We start from the raw sequence: 20603 nt of genomic DNA, 5'->3' as shown, positions 1-20603 counted from the left end.
ATGCGCCTGTAATCCCAGCTACTCGGGAGGCTGAGACACAAGAATCACTTGAACTCAGGAGGCGGAGGCTGCGGTGAGCTGAGATTGCACTGTTGCACTCCAGCCTGGACAACACAGCAAGACTCCATCTCAAGAAAAAAAATAGTTAATATATAATCTTTTATCCCCCCTACCCTAACTTGAAGTTAGGGAGAGAGGCAAATTCAGAGGATTAACTGGATCCCATTGTGTGTTAATCACATCATGAATTTTCTTAGGCTCACGGGATTTATCCATCTGTACTTTTCATTGGGTAAAAGAAAATAGAACCATTTGACATTTTTTTTCAGATGGGGAAAGAGTTGATAGTTTATGTTTGGCCCAATTCACTTTGTGTTGGCTGACTTGGCTCATTCATTGGCTGAGTATTTGTCAGGCATCTGCTGCATGCCAGGGACTCGTTGAGGCCCTGGGGATGCATAGACAACCATCCGGCCAGGCCCCTGCCCTCAGGGAACCTGCTCTCCTGCGCAGGTCTCTCCTCACCCTCTGTCTGTGTGAGGAGCCGGTGCAGACTTCTGAGGCCTTTTGGGCCCCACCACCCTGCAGGAGCCTCCTTCTACTCTGTTAAATGTTCCCCTTTGCTGGTACAGCAAAGCTGAGACTTCAAATAGGATGTGTAAGGCCTTTTATAAGAGTAGTTGTGCTGAGCCCATTAGGAGAAGGCAGCAGGTCTTGCAGAGAGGTCTACTCATCCAATAAAACACAGGTTCCTTGATTTTCTTGGAATATTTCCCCCTCCTTCCCATTCCCACTGCATACAGAGAAGCACGTCTCAATTTTCTTCTTTGGGGTCACATACAGAGATGAAGAGCCTAGGCCTGAATGTGAATTGAGACCCATTGTCCGGCCTGCATACCTGCTAAGTGGCCTGTCTGCACAGGGGCCAAGAGGTTGTGGGGTACAAAGCTCCTAACCCCCAGCCTCGGTGACACAGCACTTCCTTCATCTTTTCGATTCAGCCTTTAACTCAGGGAGCGCGACCCGAGTAGCAGCCACACGCAACCCACTCTGCTAGCCCAAGATGCTCAGACATGACCCAGGCACTGCTGCGTCCCCTGGGGAGCTTGTAGGGGGAGGGAGGAGAGACTGTAGGGCAGAGCACAGGATGTTGGGGGAGAGAGATACAGGGAGCCCCAGAGGTTGGAGAGGTTTGGTTGAGGAATTAGAAAATGAGGCACCATTTGGAGGGATCCCAGTAGGTGTACATGGTTTCATCACGCTGACGTTAGAGCAGTGAAGGGGCCCTAGCCAGATAGAAAACTGTGCAGATAGGCAGGGAAGATGGGGGAGTGGCCAGAAAAGAGTGGAGAGCTGCCACGCTGCACAGTGATTCCAGGTGTGTATAAATAGGCTTAGGGCCAGTAGAAGGGAAACCTCAGAGCTGGCTGCAAGGGAGCTGGCCAAGGTGAAATGTACAGCAGCTGGCAATTAATTGACTGTGAGGGCAGCAAAGGGAAAAGTGTCACAGGTGACCATCATCCCAGGTGTCTATGTCTGGGTGATGAGGATGCCAGCAACAGAAATGGGGCAGTCTGCGAATGGGCCAGTGGTGGAGGAGGAAGTGCTTGGCAGGGGATGTGGTGCACTTGGACTGCCCCTCTGAGGTGTTTGTGGTATCTAGCCACAGGATTCATGCTGAAAGTAAGGCAGCTGGTTCTTCTTGCCCAGTCTCCCCACTGTGTGATCTAGCTTCTCCTGCTGTATGAGACACTTTTTCTGGATTTTAACATCTGCCCAGCATCTTTTCCACATAGGGGTTTTTTGTTTTTTGTTTGTTTTTTTGTTTTTGCAAAACACTGTGGATTTGGGCCCGGGGAAAGTAGATAATATTGAAAAATCTTTCCGGATACTTGAGCTGAGAAATTGTGAATTTTTTTCATTTTTACTAAAGTATTCCCCGCCAGGCATGGTGGCTCATGCCTGTAATCCCAGCACTTTGGGAAGCCAAGGATCACTTGAGGTCAGGAGTTCAAGACCAGCCTGGCCAACATGGTGAAACCCCATCTCTACTAAAAGTACAAAAATTAGCTGGGCGTGGTGGTGGGCGCCTGTAATCCCAGCTACTCAGGAGGCTGAGGTGGGAGAATCGCTTGAACTCGGGAGGTGGAGGTGGCAGTGAGCCGAGATCATGCCACTGCACTCCAGCCTGGGCCACAGAACAAGACTCTGTCTTAAAAAAAAAAAAAGTATTCCCAAACGGAGCCTCCCTTCAAAGCTGGTATGAGTGAATATGACAGGGCAAGACCACTGTGCATTTTGTTTTCGTGTCTCTAGCCCCTTTGTTGTAAATGTCATCATGAGATTATCATATTGTATTCTGATAAAGCCATTGACGGCATGTCACAGTTTATGCTTTCTGTGATAAATGTAATGGCTGTTTCCTACCTAACATATTTTCTGTTAAGCAAAGTGGTAAAATTGTTCCATATTCTGCTTTCTCTTAGAATATAAGAAAGCCCGCCAAGAGATAAAAAAGAAGTCCTCGGATACGCTGAAACTGCAGAAGAAAGCAAAAAAAGGTAACTCCTAAAATTCTGCCACTGATGTTACTTCCTGATGGAGTACTTGATTTGTTTTTGAAGTGAAAGGTGTTCACTTCAGAGACTTCCTTAAGTATGACGGCCCTGGAAAACAGGTGGGAGCAAATAGGACCTATCTGAGTTCACATTCTCAAAGTGCAGAATAGGTATTAATTTGAGGCCTTTGCCAAGTGGTACTTGACGTGTTCCTTCCCCCACCTTTGTCTTCCAAGTTTGACAGTTTCCATGCCTATTGTGCTTCGTAATGATACCTATAAATTTCTTAGAAGCCTTGGGATAATGCAGAAAGGCCTTTATGCAAATGTTCTCTAGTAATTATTACAGAAATTATGTCATTTTCTCCTGCAGCTTTCACAGCCTATAATCTTCAAAACCCTTTATTAAGTCTTGTGAGAATGCTAGGAATGGGTGCAGGGGAAGCTGGGAGTCATGGCCATACAGGGGATTTTCCATGGTGTTCATGAGGGAGGAGCTTGATAATCTACCACTGAGCACAACCAGGCAAGATGCCTTTCCCCCACATCCTTGTTTATCCTCCTTCACAAACAAATGAATCGTCAGATCTTTGACCCACCTTTGTTCCTCCAGAATGGACTGGGAGTTTGAAGAGAAAAATCTAGCAGCATCCACTTTGCAAGCACTTGTGACATTTTACTACCACCTAAAAATGTAGGGACTTTCTCCTGAGCTAGAGAAGGTGACATTCCTTCCAGTCTATTCTTCTTTGACACCAAGTTTCTGAATCTGCTGCTTCACAACTGATAAGATGGGATTCTTCCGTCAGGCTGCTCTGTGGGTGGTGTTTACCATTAATTTGAGACAACCTTTTCGAGTTGGGATCCCCCAGCCTGAATTTTCTCTCCCCTAAACCAGCGTTCTCTGTTGGAAATAGAAGACACATTTGTAGAGATGGGATTGTGGAGGGTGGTGTGTAGTGGGGTGATGATAGGACACAGTTTTTAACCTTGAACATTTCTATAAAATGAGCCCCCCACCCTGAATTTTCACAACAACCATAAACCCATTTTGAGATAAAGGCAGCAGAATTTTCACCCACAATCAGATTTTCCATCAGCATTGGCCCCAGCAGTTTCTTTCGTATGTTTTATTTTAGTCTGGAGCTTCTCAGATTTGTATCCTATCTAACCAGGGCACCTGGGAGCTAGTGTTTGACAAGTAATAGGGTTTGTGACATAGTAACATTTTAGTGACTGTAGAGGTAAGCATTTATAAGTAAAATTACTACCATATTCCATGAAGTCTGAGGCCCGGAAGAGAGCAGGCTGGTCACAGTTCGGGGCTGAACTCCACATAACTGACAGGTTGGCAGCTTTGAGAGAGGAAGGATTCCTGGGCTGGGAGAGGTGGTCCAGGGAAGATGCTTAGGCTTAGAAAAGGTTTGGGAGTTTGGTGAAAAGGATGAAGGAAGAAAAAGTGGCTGTTTTCCCTCAGCTCTTCCACCACTCAGTTTTCAGAGGCCCTAAGTTCTTGGCTACAGTGATAATCCTTTTATCTAAGTTCTGCATGGAGGCTGAATTGGTTGTCCTCTGTCACTCAAAGTCACTGGCATTGCCCAATTAGCAGAATTTATACCTCTGGGTGAAGCCTGATAGGGTGATTGCAATGCAACATCAAAAGAAGTTTCTGGCAATTAGACCTTCCTAGCACTGGCTCGGGCTGCCTGCAGGATAATGAGCTCCCTATCAAGGCTGGATAGGAAGATATGGGACCCATAGAATGCTGGACTGTGCATAACATGAAGAGAGGCATCTGGCCCTGGGACTTGGGAATGATTGGCATTCAGTTGTGTGGTTTCTTAGGGCACATTGGCCTGACAGATGAGAGAATGGAGGTTGGGATCAGGGGTTTCTGAAGCATCTGTCTTCTCAGCCACAGCCTCACACCAGCAGTCTCTGGCACCGTGTCTTTTCCACACGGTGGACTTAGGTCCACGAGATCGGTCAGATCCATAGCTTGGAATGTTCTAGAGAATTTCTAGTTACTTCAAGATACCACCAGAAAATAATTTTTATTTCTGTCCTTTATAAAGATTTTTTTCTAAAATCAGTAAGTGCAGTTTTGGACCAGGTGTTCTATTTGTATATTTCTGGGATGAAAGCAGCCTTCTGAAAGGTACTAGAGTCACATTCGGACTGGAATCTTTTATGGAGAGCTCTCCTAGGAGGCATATGTATGGCTGAGAATGGACTGAAGAAAACACAACTCACTTAAGGGCTGGAAGAAATCTGGTCATTTGAGGCTTTCAGTTGTTTAGGGGTCTGGTTAGCTGACATTTCCCTTTCTACTAGAACACCTCGAGGGATCTGTTTCATCTCCTTCAAGTGGCAGATTCCCGGACCCTCGGTTTGTAAAAGTGTTAGCAGTTCCTTCTGACGCACCACGCGTTCGGATGGATGAAGGTTTTGGATACATTTTTTTTTTTGTCCTGATAGACGGAATCTGATGTATGCAGCCAGATAATCACTTCCTTTTTAATATGTTTCCAGGAGATTCTCAAGCAGCTTCCTGCCATGCCTTTTTCAAAAACTCTGATCTTTGATCTAAAAATTCTCTGGACTCTCCTTTTAGCATTTCAAGTGCCTTTGTGCATGTAAGCATGGTTTTACCACCATCCTTGACGTGGGCAGACACACACGGATGTGATTTTTGTGAGCGGCTCACTTTCCTTCTTACTCTGCAGATACCACCTTTTATCACATTCTTCGACTCTTTCTTACTATATAGAGAGGTGGTTTGTAATCTAAAGGTGTTTAAATATTTCCTTCAAGAAACTTTCAATGGTTTGCCTTTGGTAGGTTTTATCTCAAAATCATTTTTTAGCAGCTTGGGATATGCTATGGCTGTGGATGAGTGTGCCTGTTTTTCTTGAAGGCAAGCTTGTCAGATGCCTACTAGAAGTAAACACGAGGCAAGGAGTTAGCCAGTCCTCACCCTCAGAGAAATTCTGGGCTCGTGCACAGGGTCAAGAGCACGGGGCAGAGCCAGCATTGCCGACAGGTGGAGGGACGGAGGCGGCAGGATGCTGGGGAGATGGTGTGGAGCGGACCCAGTAACCCCAGGCTCTGAACAGTGTCTCTTGAGCCCTCTTCCTGCTCCATGATAATCAGCTTATTGCCTTGGAGGTCTTGGAGTTGACCACGACCCAATGGGGAAAAGTAAGAGAGAGCATCAGAAATGAGAGGCGTTTTACATTGTATTTACCTACGTGTGCCACCCAACCGTATGAACTCAGCAGCCTTATTCTCATTTAACTCCCATGTTACTATCAATGTGAATTAAAAATTAATTCTGGGCTGTGCGTGGTGGCTCACGCCTGTAATCCCAGCTCTTTGGGAGGCTGAGGCGGGTGCATCATGAGGTCAAGAAATCGAGACCATCCTGGCCAACATGGTGAAACCCCATCTCTACTAAAAATACAAAAATTAGCCGGGCGTGGTGGCGGGCGCCTGTAGTCCCAGCTACTCGGGAGGCTGAGGCAGGAGAATTGCTTGAACCTGGAAGGTGGAGGTTGCAATGAGCCAAGATTGCACCACTGCACTCCAGCCTGGGCAACGGAGGGAGACTCTGTCTCAAAAAAAAAAATAAAAAAATTCTGGTAAAGCCTTCTGTTTCCATCTGTAACTACAAAAAGTTTATAAGGGATTTTTAAAAATAATAATGGCCAGCATTCATTAGGTACTTATTATGGTCACTGTTCCACTTATTACCATGACATCATTAAATCTAAGAAGTCTTGATTTTTTTTTTTTTTTTTTTTGAGTCAGCATCTCACTAGGTGGCCTAGGCTGACCTCAAACTCCTGGGCTTCAGGGATCTTCCCGCCTCAGCCTCCCTAGTAGCTGGGATTACAGGCACACACCACTGCGCCCAGCAGGGACTTTTCTTGAGAGAGAGAGAACTGGAACATTATAATATGTTAACTGCACAGCTGACATGTAAATAGTTGACTCTCTCACTTTCCACTAGAGGCTGCAAAGCCAATGTTATAAATGTAATAAACAGACTCACAGAGTTCTATACGAGCATAGTATTTGCTGTTATACTACAATTTTAAACTCTTTAATTTTTTTTTTCCATTTTCATCCCACCCTAAGCTTTGTTTCCTAGGAATTTCCTAGATATTTTTCAAGTGATGGTAAATGACACTCGAAAGGTTTTCTTGCCAAAGCTTGGCTTCTTCTGGGTATATATTCTTCATCTCTCTTTTTAAAAATCCTTGCTGTCTTCTCTAGGGGTGGTCATTACTAACTGGGAAGGTTTTGTTTAGATGAGAAGGAAGGAAGATATTAGTAAGGCAGAGAAGGGGAATGTGGATGTGGGTTTAATCAGCCCTAATAGAAAATTTGGTGGCGAGCCATGGACTGTTTAACACATGAAACAAAGGTAAGACTGCTGCTGCTTGAATACCAGTTTGACTTTATTATTTTCCTTTTTGTGTCAATTGTGTATCCTGCACTTTCTCACCGTGTGCCCCCCCGCCAGTGGACACTCTTGGTAAGTCTACCATCCCAAATCTCTGGTGGCTGCTCACGGTGTGGTCCTTGCTGTGGGCTTTCCGTGGTTGTCCAGACCTCTGCTAGCTGCCCAGGTTTTTCTACCAGCTCAAAACAATCAACTGTGCCTACCTAATTTTCCACAACTTTAAGAAAATTGTGTGTGCGTTGTGTTTTAATTGTTTTCTTTTTTGGATGTTTAGCCATTTACGATGTTAGCACAACACTCTGAGAGCCTTTGAATCATCGTAATTCAATATTAGACTCATGGAAAAAAGAAATACAGAGTGACTTAAACTGTCATTTCCACAGTCAATAAGCATTTTTGCATACATATATACCTGCGTATGTATGTATGTATATATTTATGCCACAAACAGAGCTGCAAGCCTCAAAATAATTCTCAAATCAGATTTGGTTGTGTTAAGCTTGCAAAACATCTTTAACTTTGTCCTGTCTGCAAGACCATATAGTTCTTTCCATAACCAATGATTCATTTTTTAAAAAATAAATCAAAAGTATTTCTTATTTCAGTAGAGTTTGTGAAATGTTTCATTTCAGAAGTATCAGATCTTCCAATTAAGTAATCAGAATGATTCTTCTTGACTGAATGTTGAACTTCACTCTGTGGATGATCATGCTGCCAAAACTTCAAGTTGCTTTTGGAGTCTTGTTGCTGTCCCTCTGTCCTGGGAGGTCTGTCTGCGAGGTGTCTGTGTGGTTTATCTTGCCTGAGTGTGCCCAGGTGTTCCCTGAGCATTTTACTGAACAGCTCCAAAGAGGCTTTTGAAGTGGCTTCTGTCATTTACAGCAAACCCAGTGCACAAAGGTCTCCTTTGATGGTTGGGGCTGACACGGCCTCTATTTCCCCTCATGGCGATGTTGGGCTAGTGGTTCCCCAACTTTAAAAAGGATCATCCTTTCCAGTTCTCAACATTGTGATTATGAAACAGCTTGCACAGTTTCTAGTAAACCTTTGGAAGGAAGGTAAGACACAGTCACTGTTTTGCTTATTGCAGTAAAATTCACATCACAGAATTTATCATTTTAGCCGTTCTGAAGTATAAGTTTCAGTGGCTTTTAGTACATTCATGGTGTTATGCAACCATCGCCACTATCTAATTTCACAACATTTTCATTATCCCCGAAAGACACCTCATGCCCATTAAGCAGTCCCTCCCTGTTTCACAGTCTCCCCACCCACGCTGACCCTGACAACCACTCATCTGCCTTCTGTCTCTGGATTTGCCTATTCTGGACATTTTATACAAATGGAATCATGTAGTACACAGCCTTTTGAGGACACAGTCCCTTGAGTCTTGAGTTTTACTGGAACCTTTGCCGAGAGCCTGACATGAGTCAGTTCATGGAGTAAATAGAGCATTTTATTTATTTGAAATGATGGGAGGTCAGTTTGGAATGAATAAAGAAACTGTATAGCCTTTTGACTTTGTAAGTTCTAAAGATTCTGCTTATCTTTCAAAGAGAAATCTCTGCAACCCCCTTTAATTTTTTCTCTTGTAGGGGCTGGTTCATAGGCAAAGCCACAGTGAATTTGGGTATAAATACACAAGAAAAGCTATATGATTTGTAGCTCTCATAAATGTTTAAAATATTTATACAGAGAGAAAAAAATAATTCTTTAATTATTTTTAACAGTTGGCTTGGCTGGGCGCGTTGGCGTGGTGGCTCATGCCTGTAATCCCAGCACTTTGGGAGGCCTAGGTGGGCAGATCACCTGAAGTCAGGAGTTCGAGACCAGCCTGGCCAACATGGTAAAACCCCATCACGATCAGTGACACGATCTCGGCTCACTGCAACCTCCGTCTCCTGGGTTCAAGCAATTCTCCAGCCTCAGCCTCCCAAGTAGCTGGGATTACAAGTGCCTGCCACCACACCCGGCAAATTTTTCTATTTTTAGTAGAGACGGGGTTTTGCCATGTTAGGCAGGATGGTCTTGAACTCCTGACCTCGGGTGATCCTGTTGCCTTGGCCTCCCAAAGTGCTGGGATTACAGGTGTGAGCCACCCTGCCAGCCAGTGCTGGGATGAATATAAGCAAAAGGTGTAACCTGGGGGCAGAGAGGAAGGAGCCTCACTAAGCCTGGGGGTAGGGTAGTGATAATGAGGAGGAGCATGAGGGGTCAGCTGTTGAAGAATGAGGAGGGGATATTCAAGGTGGAGAGGACAGCGTGCACCAACACATGGCTCTTGTCATTTAGAAAGGAGCATCAGCAACAGTGGTGAAGGGTAGACGTGTCACACTGTGTGTGTGATGCTCCAGGGACAGCCTTGAGGCAGGGCTGTCGTCCCACCAAGGGTGGACTGTGTGCATAGAGAACCATAGTGACCCCTGGCTACTCAGCCTCTGGCTTCCTGGACCGCGTCTCCCCACCCCACACTGACCTGCCTCCAGAATGGTTCAATCACTGGGCCTCGATTCTGATCAGACTCCAAAGTGGACCCCAAATGCCTCTCCACGTCATTCTTCCTTTCTTGGAAAAAGCCTGTGAAATGTGAATCCTTTCCTCTAGGCACAGTGGTTTGCTCATCCCCCAGCCGTATCCAGCCTATGCACTCACCCACAGGAATGTTTCTTGTGTTTACAAAACCAGCAGAAAGCACTCTCAGAATGACCCTGAGACCTGCAGTCAATGGATCAATGGCTCTGCCTCTATGGTAAAAATTGAATCTGTGTAGATTCCCTGCAACCCCACCCCCATTGATTTTTGAGGAGGGATAGTACTAGGAGCTCTCCTTCCCACAGGGATGTCAGTGGAGTGAGGAGGAAGAACAAGGAGCAGAGGGTGGGATGGTTCCAGCCAGTTCTTCGAGGCTAAGCCCAGGGCTTAGAAGGCTGATGAGGAAATACAGAATGTAGGCACAGCCAGACCCCTTCTGTCTGGGTGGAAGCAGGGATGCTAGAATTTTACCCTTAGACCTATTGTGACCATCAGAAAGCTGCCCCTGACCTGAATCCATAGATGTCTGAATTTAACTCAGAAATCTCCTCCAAGGCCGGGCACAGTGGCTCATGCCTGTAATCCCAGCACTTTGGGAGGATCACTTGAGGTCATGAGTCTGAGACCAGCCTGGCCATCATGGCAAAACCCTATCTCTACTAAAAATACAAAAGTTAGCTGGGTGTGGTGGCGTGCACCTGCATTCTCAGCGACTTGGGATGCTGAGGCAGAAGAATCGCTTAAACCTGGGAGGCAGAGGTTGCAGTGAGCCGAGATCGCTCCACTGCACTCCAGTCTGGGTGACAGAGTGAGACCCTGTCTCCAAAATAAAAGAAATTTACTGCAAAGGGATGTTGCATTTCAGGTGAATGTATGTAGCCTTCAGAGGCCGGGCTATTTATTAGATGTATTTTATAACTGAGGATTCTAGGTAAACACAAGCCAAACAGATCCACCAGAAGCCTAGAGCTGTGAACTCTTCCTTTGCAAAGCTTGTCTCCAGTAAAACCTCACGTAGACACAACTCCTTGAGTGCCTTGCCCACTACTCTGGTCTCAGAATGCCCTGGGTGTGCCTGTACACAATAGGACTGTTAAGGTGCAGTGCACCTGACTTCCCTGTGGCTGCATTCAGGGGCAGGGTAGAGGTATATAGAGTATGGAGGCACGCCGGGAGCTGAGTATTTTTCTTAGCGTTAATTTTCGACCAAATACAAAACAGCAGAGAAGGAAACAGACAACTTGCTTGAAATATTTATTCCTTGCATAATATGGTTTTCATCTCCCTAGAGAACACTAACGGGATGGGCAAAGCCTGACGGAATGGCAGGGTGGGGAAGCAGTTGCTGCCTCTCTTGAGTTGCAACCCATCAGCCATTTATGGTTTTTGTAGGACTAATTGATTCACGCCTGGTGCCATTCTTCCATTCATAAACATCCTTGACTGCTGCAGATGAGTCCTGCAAAACACTCCAGCCTCCATTTATTAGTTTGTTCTTTCATTCATTCATTCAGGAAAGGGGTATGACAAGCCTCCTCTGTGCTAGACTCTGTTAGCTGCTAAGGAGGTAAAAGTAGCATCTACACTCAAGCTCTCCCCAGCACGAAGAATGCATTTATGTTCCAACATCAATTCTCTGACTGCAGCTGCTGTCCTATTCAGTTATGACACACCTAGTGTTAGTGTAGACCCCACAAGCTAAGAGTTCAGTCCCATGAGACTGCCCCAAATTCAGTCACCAGCCACAAGTGGGGTCCTCAGATTCCTCACACTTCTGCCCAGCCGACCACAAATTTGGGGTTTTCTATGACCCCCTCGCCCATCAAGTTTAATAATTCTCTAGAAGGACTTGCAGAACACAGGAAAGCACCATATTTACAATGACTGGCTTCTTATAAAGAATGCAGATTGTAGCCTTGTTTACTACATTAAAGGACTCTGCTGAAGCCCTTGAAGCCTTTTTGGCTTCTAGATAATTCCACCGTGACAGTGTGTATTTGGATTAGACTGTGGCTTAACTGGACATCCAGTTAGCAAGTGGTGGTTGTTGTCTAGGTGACAGATGATGGTGGCCTGGGCTCAGGGAAGTGACCACAGAGATAGAGAGGAAGACAGGTGGATTCAAGAGCTACTTAGGAGAAATGCAAATGAAAGAAGGAAGAGTTGAAGGCAATGGTAAATTTCTGGATCCGGTAGTCAGGTTGGCAGATGGTGGAGTATTTCTTTAACCACCAAGGAAGAAGCATTTTGGAGCCGTGAGGATGCTCTGTTGGAGACACTCTGGATGGTGAGCTGCAGGTTGGCCTGGGACGTTTTCTAGTTGTTCTCTGAAATGTCTCTTTTTATCCTTTGCTTTGATAAACAACTGATTGCCCAGGGACCAGTGAAGAATCTTGATGATAAAACTCCTACTTGTAGTGAAAGAATCATGGGATCTTTTGCATTTTCTTACATCAAAAACGACCTTGAACTGAAAGCTCTCTTTAAAAAACAAACAAACAAACAACAACAACAAAAAACCCACCCTACCCTGCATACTATCACCTGCTAAACTACCCAGTGTCAGAAGGACAACTTCAGAGATGCTGTGGTGGCAGCTGATAGTGCCTGACATTTAGTGAGTGCTCAGCACGTGCCGGGCGTTGTTCTGAATGCTTCATGTGGATTAGTTCATTTCCCCTTCCAGCAGCCCTGTGAGCTCAATACTGTTATTATTTACATCCCACAGGTAAAGGGAAACTGGGGCACAGTAGGTTGAAAAATAACGGAAATTGAGTTTGTTTGAAAAATTTTAAGGCTAAAAGCCTTCAGTCTTATCTAATCACATCTATCTTTTGATTTCGGGTTGGATTTTTCTTTTGGGAATCAGTCAAAACCCACTGTGGGTTATTAAGAGTAGAAGATGACTTATAAAGGGATAATGAGGATAGCCTCCTTTTGCTGGGAAGACAGAATTTTTCATTCCAAATTCTAATCTCCAGTGTCACCTTGCATGTCCATTTCTGGATTTATATTTTGTATTTTAGTATTTATATCCCATGTTTCATTTGACTCTGGGATACAAGCAATTGTCAGATGCACCATTATTTTCCAGACCACTAAGAAAGGAAAAAAAAAACCTACCGATTAAACTGTGACACACCATTGATTGTAAGACACACCCTGATTGGTGAGGTGTAAAAATGGGGGAAAGTGGCTCTCTTAGAATGAAATATCTTAGAATGAATTTGTGTGAGTCAGGGGCAGGTGAAAGTCATTTTGCAGGATTCTAATGGCTTCTCCATACACCTCTCTCCGAAGAAAGAAAGGACTTGGGGTGTTTTGCTGACTCCTGGCAGCATTCTTGGCCCAATGTATTCTGGGTTTGCTCTTCCCCGTTGGAGAGCCCTTTGCCAGAGAACAGCCACTGGCTTGTTGAGCCAGGAAGCTTACCATGTGAGTGCAGCTTGTGTCTGAAGAGGCTGGGCCAGTACAGATAATACGAATCACATTTCACTGGCTTTTTGATCGGCTGTTTAGCTCCTGGCAGCTTGTTCCCAGCATTCATGTTTGCTGTGAGTAGGAAACACAAAGAACCTCGTCTTCAGAACGAGAAAGACTTGGGGCTGGATTCTAGCTGTGCCCGTGGCTGGCTTAGTGCTCATGATTGTGGCCCTGTGCAGACCACTTTGCCTCCCTCAGTCTCAGTTTCCCCATCTATCAAAACGGATATTCATTCCTGCCTTGAATGTGTTATGTAATAATGATTAAGGAAAATAAAATGCAAGTGTTGAAGTTGATACAGGATCTTTATTTCATTCCAGAAAACTCTGTAAAGTTTCCTCATTTAAAAATTCCTTCCTTCTGTGGCCGGGTGTGGTGGCTCACACTGTGATCCCAGCAGTTTGGGAGGCCGAGGCAGGCAGATCACTTAAGGTCAGGAGTTCGAGACCAGCCTGGCCAACATAGTAAAACCCTGTCTCTACAAAAAATACAAAAATTAGTCGGACATACTGTCTTGAACCCAGGAGGCAGAGGTTTCAGTGAGCTGAGATTGTGCCGCTGCACTCCAGCCTAGGCAACAGAGCGAGACTCTGTCTCAAAAAAAAAAATTCCTTCCTTCTTTAGGGGTGCTGCCTTGGCCCATGACATGGTGCATTCACAATGCTTTGCCCCAGGAACATTTTCTGCAAAGAGAATCATCATGATATCCCCTGGGGTGGGGGGATAAGGGGCTCCTGGCTGCTGTTCATCAGAATTCCCCAGCGTGAATACACAAGACCTGGAAACTAGCACCAGGAAAAAAACAAAACTCAAGACTGAAGATGCCTAAGATATTACAGAAGAAAGCCGAAAGCAATTCTTTGCTCAAGAATTTTGTCTGGGAAGCCCATCGAAGGCACCCCCTCCCTCCTCCTCTTGGCTGCTTGATGGTCCTGGAATTGGGTGGTTCTGAAGTATTAGGCCATTTAAGGGAATGATGGTTGAGGCCAGTGAGCAAACTTGGTCACGTTGTATCAATGCTTGATTCATTTACAAATATTTGAACACCTGCCGCCTTCCAGGCAAGTGTGCTGACTGAGGAGATACAGTACTGAGCAAAAGCATTCATGGGTTCTGCCCCCGTGGGACTGCCCCCTGACTAGGGGAGACTGACGTCAATCAAATAACTAGAGAAATAAAGATGAAATTCAAACCGGGGGTAGTGCTGTGAATAAGTATAAGGGATTTCAGAGATCAAGTAAGAGAAGCCTAATCTGGGGAGAAAGTTCACAGCAGGATTCCCTGAAGGATCGAGAATTAAGCGAGACCTGTAGGATAAAAGGTGTTAGGAATGTAGCAGAGGGACAGCAGAGTGAAGATGGGAAGGGGCCCAGGCCCTGGAGGATGAGAGGGAGAGGAGAGAGGGAGAGAATGGCCCACAAAGGCTGAGGCTATGAGGTAGACAGGCAATGACCTTTCATGCCTTGCAGGGCAGGCCATGTTAAGGATATTGTTCTTTTCTTGCGAGCAATGGGAGCTGTTGAAAAGCAGTGAGAATATTTGCATTTTGAAAGTAATCCACAGCCGGGTGTGGTGGCTCATGCCTGTAATCCCAGCACTTTGGGAGGCCGAGGCAGGTGGATCACTTGAGGTCAGGGGTTCAAGACCAGCCTGGCCAACATGGTGAAATCCTGTCTCTACTAAAAATACAAAAATTAGCTGGGCATGGTGGTACATGCCTGTAATCCCAGCTACTTGGGTGGCTAAGGCAAGAGAATCTCTTGAACCTGGCAGGCGGAGGTTGCAGTGAGCTGAGATCACGCCACTGCACTCCATCCAGCCTGGGCAACAGAGCGAGACTCTGTCTCAAAAAAAAAAAAAAAAAGAAAAGAAAAGAAAGAAAGTAGCCCAGGGCTGCTCTGGGCGAGCTAGTCCAAGTGCAGTCTGGGGTGAGACATTAGGGGCTGTTGGCATCTGTTCAGGTGAGAGATCGTGATGGCCCAGTGAGGGTAGAGGTAGCAGAGGTGAGACGAGGATGGAGTCAAGTCCGTGGGAGCTGGAATAGCCAGGACCAGCGCTCAAGGAGTCAGTGGTGACTCTCCTAACACTGCCGATGGGAGTGAAGAGAATGGGCTTTTGTATATATTAAATCAGTACCAACACAACTCTCTGAATTTGTGGACCTCAAAAGATCACTCTATCTTAAAACCAGTATATCCAACTGGGACATGAAATAATTTCTTTCACAGTTTTTTTTTATAAATATAATTACATGTTGTATTAGTGAATTTAATAAATAAACATTGTAGTTTTAGCTTATCATCTATCCTGAATGGAAATGTCTTGACTATAATTATAGCAATCTTTACAGAGTATACTTATTTTAGAATGCTACAATTTGAGAGTCCTTTAATTATAATACACATTTAAAATAACTTTGCTATAATCATAGGATAACTTAAATTTATATTTTCCAAATTAGATAACACTGGGTTCAGTGGCCTTTTTTTCTTTCCTATGTAGATACAGTTTTTAAAGTCAGCATTATTAATTATGGATAGACATGTGCCTTATAACTTGTGAAAGGAAGTAAAGATACATTTTTCCAATTTCTGACAATCACAGGCTGTTATTTTTTAATTTTATTTTATCTATTTATTTATTTTAGATGGAGTCTTGCTCTGTCGCCCAGGCTGGAGTGCAGTGGCATGATCTCAGCTCACTGCAACCTCCCCCTCCCAGGTTCAAGCAATTCTTCTGCCTCAGCCTCCCCAGTGGCTGGGACTACAGGCGTGTGCCACCACACCCAGCTAATTTTTGTACTTTTAGTAGAGACGGGGTTTCACCATATTGGCCAGGCTGGTCTTGAACTCCTGACCTCATGATCCGCCCGCCGCGGCCTCCCAAAGTGCTGGGATTAGAAGCATGAGCCACCGTTCCCGGCCTCATAGGCTGTTATTTTTTTAAATTGCTACCATAATCAAAGCCCACCGAGCAAGTTTGGTCAAACACAATGTGTCTCAATCTGGTGTCTCCCGACTTCTGTTCACCATCCTACACGAGAGTTGAGAACATTCTGAGGTGGTCTGCAGCCCTCTGTGTTTTGTTATTAGAACATCATAGAATAGATCGAGAGACTAGAAGTAGCCCTCTAGACCAGCCCTGAGTCATGTGACCCAACAAGGCCCACAATTGGCCATGCTGTTTGGCTGCTTGCAGAGGAAAAGCAAGGGTTTACAGCTTTCCAGAGCTTCCCTGCTGGTGGACTCGTATCATACACACATTAAGTATATCTGGATTAATTTTGCACTAGCCAGCATTTTAAAATAGAAGAGAAAACTCACAGTTTTCATAGTGCTGGTGGCACCCAGCCTTCCCTCTGTAAGCCGTTGGCCACAGGTGGTGGGTCTCTGTGAACAGAGCACCTGCCCTGAGGCAGATTCCAGGAGAGAATGGGAGAATGTTTTTACAGGTTTCTTGTCTACTAAAAACACATGAAACCAGTGGCTCAGGTGGCCAGATTAATGTATGGTGATGATTACTCCTACATCCTTGAGGAAGAAATTGAAGGCATGGTAAAGAATTATTCTGAGGGGTGGAGGTAGTGACTACATGGAAGAATGGGTGAGTGGGTCACCTTGAAAATATGCTGAAACACCCAGGCGCTGTGGCTCATGTCTGTAATCCCAGCACTTTGGGAGGCTGAGGTGGGAGGATCACTTGAGGCCAGGAGTTCAAGACCGTCTGGCCAATAAAGCAAGACCCAATCTTTATAAAAAAAAATTGAAAAACTAGCTGGGCATGGTGGTGCACGCTGGTAGTCCCAGCTGCTTAAGAGGCTGAGGCTGCAATGAGCTATGATCATTCCACTGCACTCCAGCCTGAGTGACAGAGCAAGACTCTGTCTCCAAAAAGGAGAAAATTATGCAGAGACTTCTCAAGCAGCAAATTTCTTATATATAGTAGTTCCCCCTTCTCCTCAGGGGATATGTTCCAAGACCCCCCGTGGATGCCTAAAACTGCAGATAGTACCCGAACCTTACATATACTGTGGTTTTTCCCATGCATACATGTCTATGGTAAAGTTTAATACATAATTTAGGCACAGTAAGAGATTAACAACAATAATAATAGAACAATTATAACAATATACTGTAATAAAAGTCATGCGAATGTAGTCTCTTTCTCTCTTTCAAAATACCGTATTTTACCACACCATGGGTAGCTGAAACTTTGGAAAGCAAAACCACAGAGGAGGGGCCAGTGTAGTATAATCGTTGGGTAGCACCCCTCCGTGGACTTAGATACATACTATCTACACATTTGTACTCACTTGACTGATGAGAGTTATATACACAAAGCTGTCCATACTGTATTTACTGGCCATCTAAGGCATTTTCAAGGGTGATCTTTGACTATAATTTTCTCATAATGTGCTAACTTAGAACTTATTCCCTGTCTGAGAAGTGACTTTTCCTTACTAAAATCTGACTACCTTTTCTATTGGGATGTGCTTTAAGCCTGATTGCCTCTTGCTCCAAATTAAACTTTCTCCTCTGCTTATGAGTGAAAAATACAGAATATGTTCCTACATCCAAGGCAATTTTCCCTGACCCTTTCTTTCTTCAGACCAAATGGTTCATTGCATTTAATGTTCTCTACATCACTAAGAGGGATAGATGGAAACTGCAGGGCCCTTCCTGCGAGGCGGTGGGGCAGAGAATAGGTTCAGTGTTAAGGGAATTAGGCAGTGTGGCTCAACCCTGCCTCTGTACCATTCTTTCTGTGACCTTAGGTGAGTCCCTTGACTTCTCTAGGACTTGGTCTCCATTGAAACATGAGCAGATTGGCCCAATTGGATAACCCCTTCCAGCTCTAACATTTTGTGTTGAAACTATTAAACAGACATTTATCAAGCACCTGCTGTATACACACATGACATTGTACTAGGGGCTGTGCTGGGAAAGACCAAAATCCTGCCCTGAAGAAGTTTAGGAAGTATCTCTCTGGTTTGAGTGATAGGTAAGGCCCCTGCATAGGCAGCCCAAGGTGGAAGCTCATGAGCTGGTGTCCCCTGCTGTCACCCTGCTGTCCCCACCTACAGATCAGATTTGTAGTAGCTGCTCCTTTGGACACAGTGCCTCTTGGTCCATGTTTATCTTTTAGGGCAGCAGGCTTCTTTTGCAAGAGGCCATGGTCTGGGGGCCATACTCTGTGTCACACTACTCTGCCATTGTAGGGAGAACTGGTACAGGCAATATGGTAAATAAATGGATTTGGCTGTGTTCTAATAAAACTTTATTTGCAAAGATGGTTTGCTGACCATGTGTTAGTCATTCAAAAGACTAACACCCTGTCTTAAACTCCAGAAGTGGTTGCCTGCACCTAACTGGGGTCTGTGGACCTGGCCAGATAATTCCTAAACATGGGCCAGGCTCCGCATAGACCCCACTTTCAGTTTTTCATCATCAGAGACCTGTCTGGAGGTCTTGTTATTACTGGGCTTGTTCTACAGCAAGAGCATTCAAGACTCTCCACTAGAGAGTCAAAGGAACTGCCAAGGATTCCCATGGGCCCCCAGAGCCAGGAGAGCGGATGCTTGCCACCTTTGTCTTTAGGAGCAGATCCTTCTATCCAGACAGAGGCTCTTTGATTGAGATTGACCCAACAAAGCCAGCCCGTGCCCGTTTTTGGAAACACCCACAGGCTCTTACCTTGTTTCCACATCTCTTAGCCTCTTCAGAATGTTCTGCAAGGAAAGAATGCTGTCTGGCTCTGTGTTCCAGGGTTGTGTTGGCAGAAGAGTTGGTGGGGGTTGTGCAGTGTGAGAAGGCAAGTCATGAAGAGTTGCCCCAGGACATTTTCCTTGTCAGGAATAAGCCAGGCTAAATGTGCCCTTTGGGCATTGAAAATTGGAAATGGCTGGTCCTAGAAAAACAGCTGCCTTAAATCCTTTTGGGGCATGAATAAATACTTTTTTTACATCCTGGAAAATTGTGGTTTTGACTCCAGCAAGGACCCCAGGGAGGAGGGGCACTTGTTCCAGAAGCTGGTATTTCAGCAAGCCGTGCTTGGGTCTCTGTTTTTTGCAGGGAGAGGTGATATCCAGCCTCAGTTGGACAGTGCTCTCCAAGATGTCAATGATAAGTATCTCTTATTGGAAGAAACAGAAAAGCAGGCTGTCCGGAAGGCTTTGATTGAAGAACGTGGCCGATTCTGTACCTTCATCTCTATGCTGCGGCCAGTGATTGTAAGTTAATGGAAAACTCCAGAAGGTTTAAACTGCTGGTGTAGAGGTGGCTTCCTTCTAATTTTATCCATCCACTGTTGAGTCATGGAGAATCTACTGTCAGGAATCATGATGGTGGTATCTCCTGTACAGACCAGCGATTCAGTGCAAGTTGATGGCCATGTAGCTCACTCCTCATTCACTGTTCTAGTACCACTTGTTCCCCGTTACTTTGTCTCACCAAGTCAAGAAGGCCCAGCAGGGTGGTTCTCAAAGTGAGGTCCCCAGGTCAGCAGCATCACGTGGGAACTGGCTAGAAATGCAAGTTCTTGGGCCCAACCCAGACCCACCAAGTCCAAACCTCTGGGGGTGGGGACCCAGTCGTCTGTGTTTTAAAGGAGCACTCCAGGTGGTTTTGAGACTCACTGTTGTAGCCGAGTACTAAGGGGTGACCATGAGATGAATATCCAAGAGCCTCAATGAATCAATTTAGACTTAATTTTTAAGGAAATCATTTGCATGCCGTAATTGAGAACTTGCACTGCAGGCGTTCTGGAAGCTGATTCGAAGGTACCAGCTCATTTCCCTTAGCCCTAGCAAAATGTCTGAATTTGAGTTGTTCCCCTGAGCACAGAACTTTTCCATGGATCGTTCTAGCCCGGCCCGTGGTCCCAACTTGGCACTTCGATAAAGCACATGGGATGTTTCTTCCATGGTCCCCAGCTCCTGTCTTACTTGTCTTTTACTAAGTTGCTGGAAAAGCACAAGAAAGAAGGGGAAAAGTTAGCTTCTGTTGAACACACAGGCACTGTCACAAAGATCTGGACCAAAATATATCCAAGTCGTGTCATCCATTGAAGCTAAGCAACTTCAGAAAAGGGCCACAGTATGAAGAGGGCTGTGCTGCAGGATCCCGTGGGAACACACAGTCAGACCATCTGAGCAGGCCTGGCAGTCCCCCAGGCCCTGGGAGGGAGGCCTGTGTGTTCCCCACTGTCCCCTGTGCACAGGTCACTCCTCCATTATGGCAGATTTCTTTTTCCATCTCATTTCCCAAAAGAAAAGGCATGTAGTGCCTTCAGCAAAGATTTGCCAGTCCCAACAGTGCCTTTTCTGAAAAACTGAAAGGGTTATACAGAGACCCTAATGAAAACAATTGGACTAGAGCGATGAAGGGAATCACTCATGATAATAACATTTCATGAATGACTTTTCCTTCAGGAAGAAGAAATCTCAATGCTAGGGGAAATAACCCACCTTCAGACCATCTCGGAAGATCTAAAAAGCCTGACCATGGACCCTCACAAACTGCCCTCCTCAAGTGAACAGGTAGGCTTCAGGGGTTAAGCACTTAC

At 45.3% G+C, this 20603-nt stretch overlaps 1 protein-coding gene and 1 long non-coding RNA gene across 35 annotated transcripts in view; one reads left to right on the top strand and one right to left on the bottom strand.

The window, feature by feature from the left end:
• The window catches only part of MTSS1 (MTSS I-BAR domain containing 1), a 177690-nt gene that overhangs the window by 140826 nt on the left and 16261 nt on the right, over positions 1 to 20603 (top strand). For 17 of the 34 annotated variants that reach the window (XM_047422492.1, XM_006716704.3, XM_006716700.3 and 14 more), the window contains 4 exons: positions 2487 to 2561; positions 7086 to 7097; positions 19112 to 19269; positions 20470 to 20577. In XM_047422492.1, the coding sequence (XP_047278448.1) occupies positions 2487 to 2561; positions 7086 to 7097; positions 19112 to 19269; positions 20470 to 20577 (353 nt within the window). The remainder of the gene's footprint in view (positions 1 to 2486; positions 2562 to 7085; positions 7098 to 19111; positions 19270 to 20469; positions 20578 to 20603) is intronic. The other 17 variants (XM_047422493.1, NM_001363301.2, XM_047422490.1 and 14 more) reach the window with 1 other exon arrangement.
• LOC105375740 (uncharacterized) lies at positions 6997 to 18765 on the bottom strand. The gene is made up of 2 exons (XR_928608.3): positions 18734 to 18765; positions 6997 to 8070 (listed from the first exon to the last, which is right to left on the bottom strand). It is a non-coding gene; the product is annotated as an uncharacterized LOC105375740 (long non-coding RNA).

The sequence above is a fragment of the Homo sapiens genome, chromosome 8, assembly GCF_000001405.40.
Source record: "Homo sapiens chromosome 8, GRCh38.p14 Primary Assembly".
NCBI classification, from domain to species: domain Eukaryota; kingdom Metazoa; phylum Chordata; class Mammalia; order Primates; family Hominidae; genus Homo; species Homo sapiens.
This window is presented reverse-complemented; position numbering and strand designations above follow the sequence as displayed.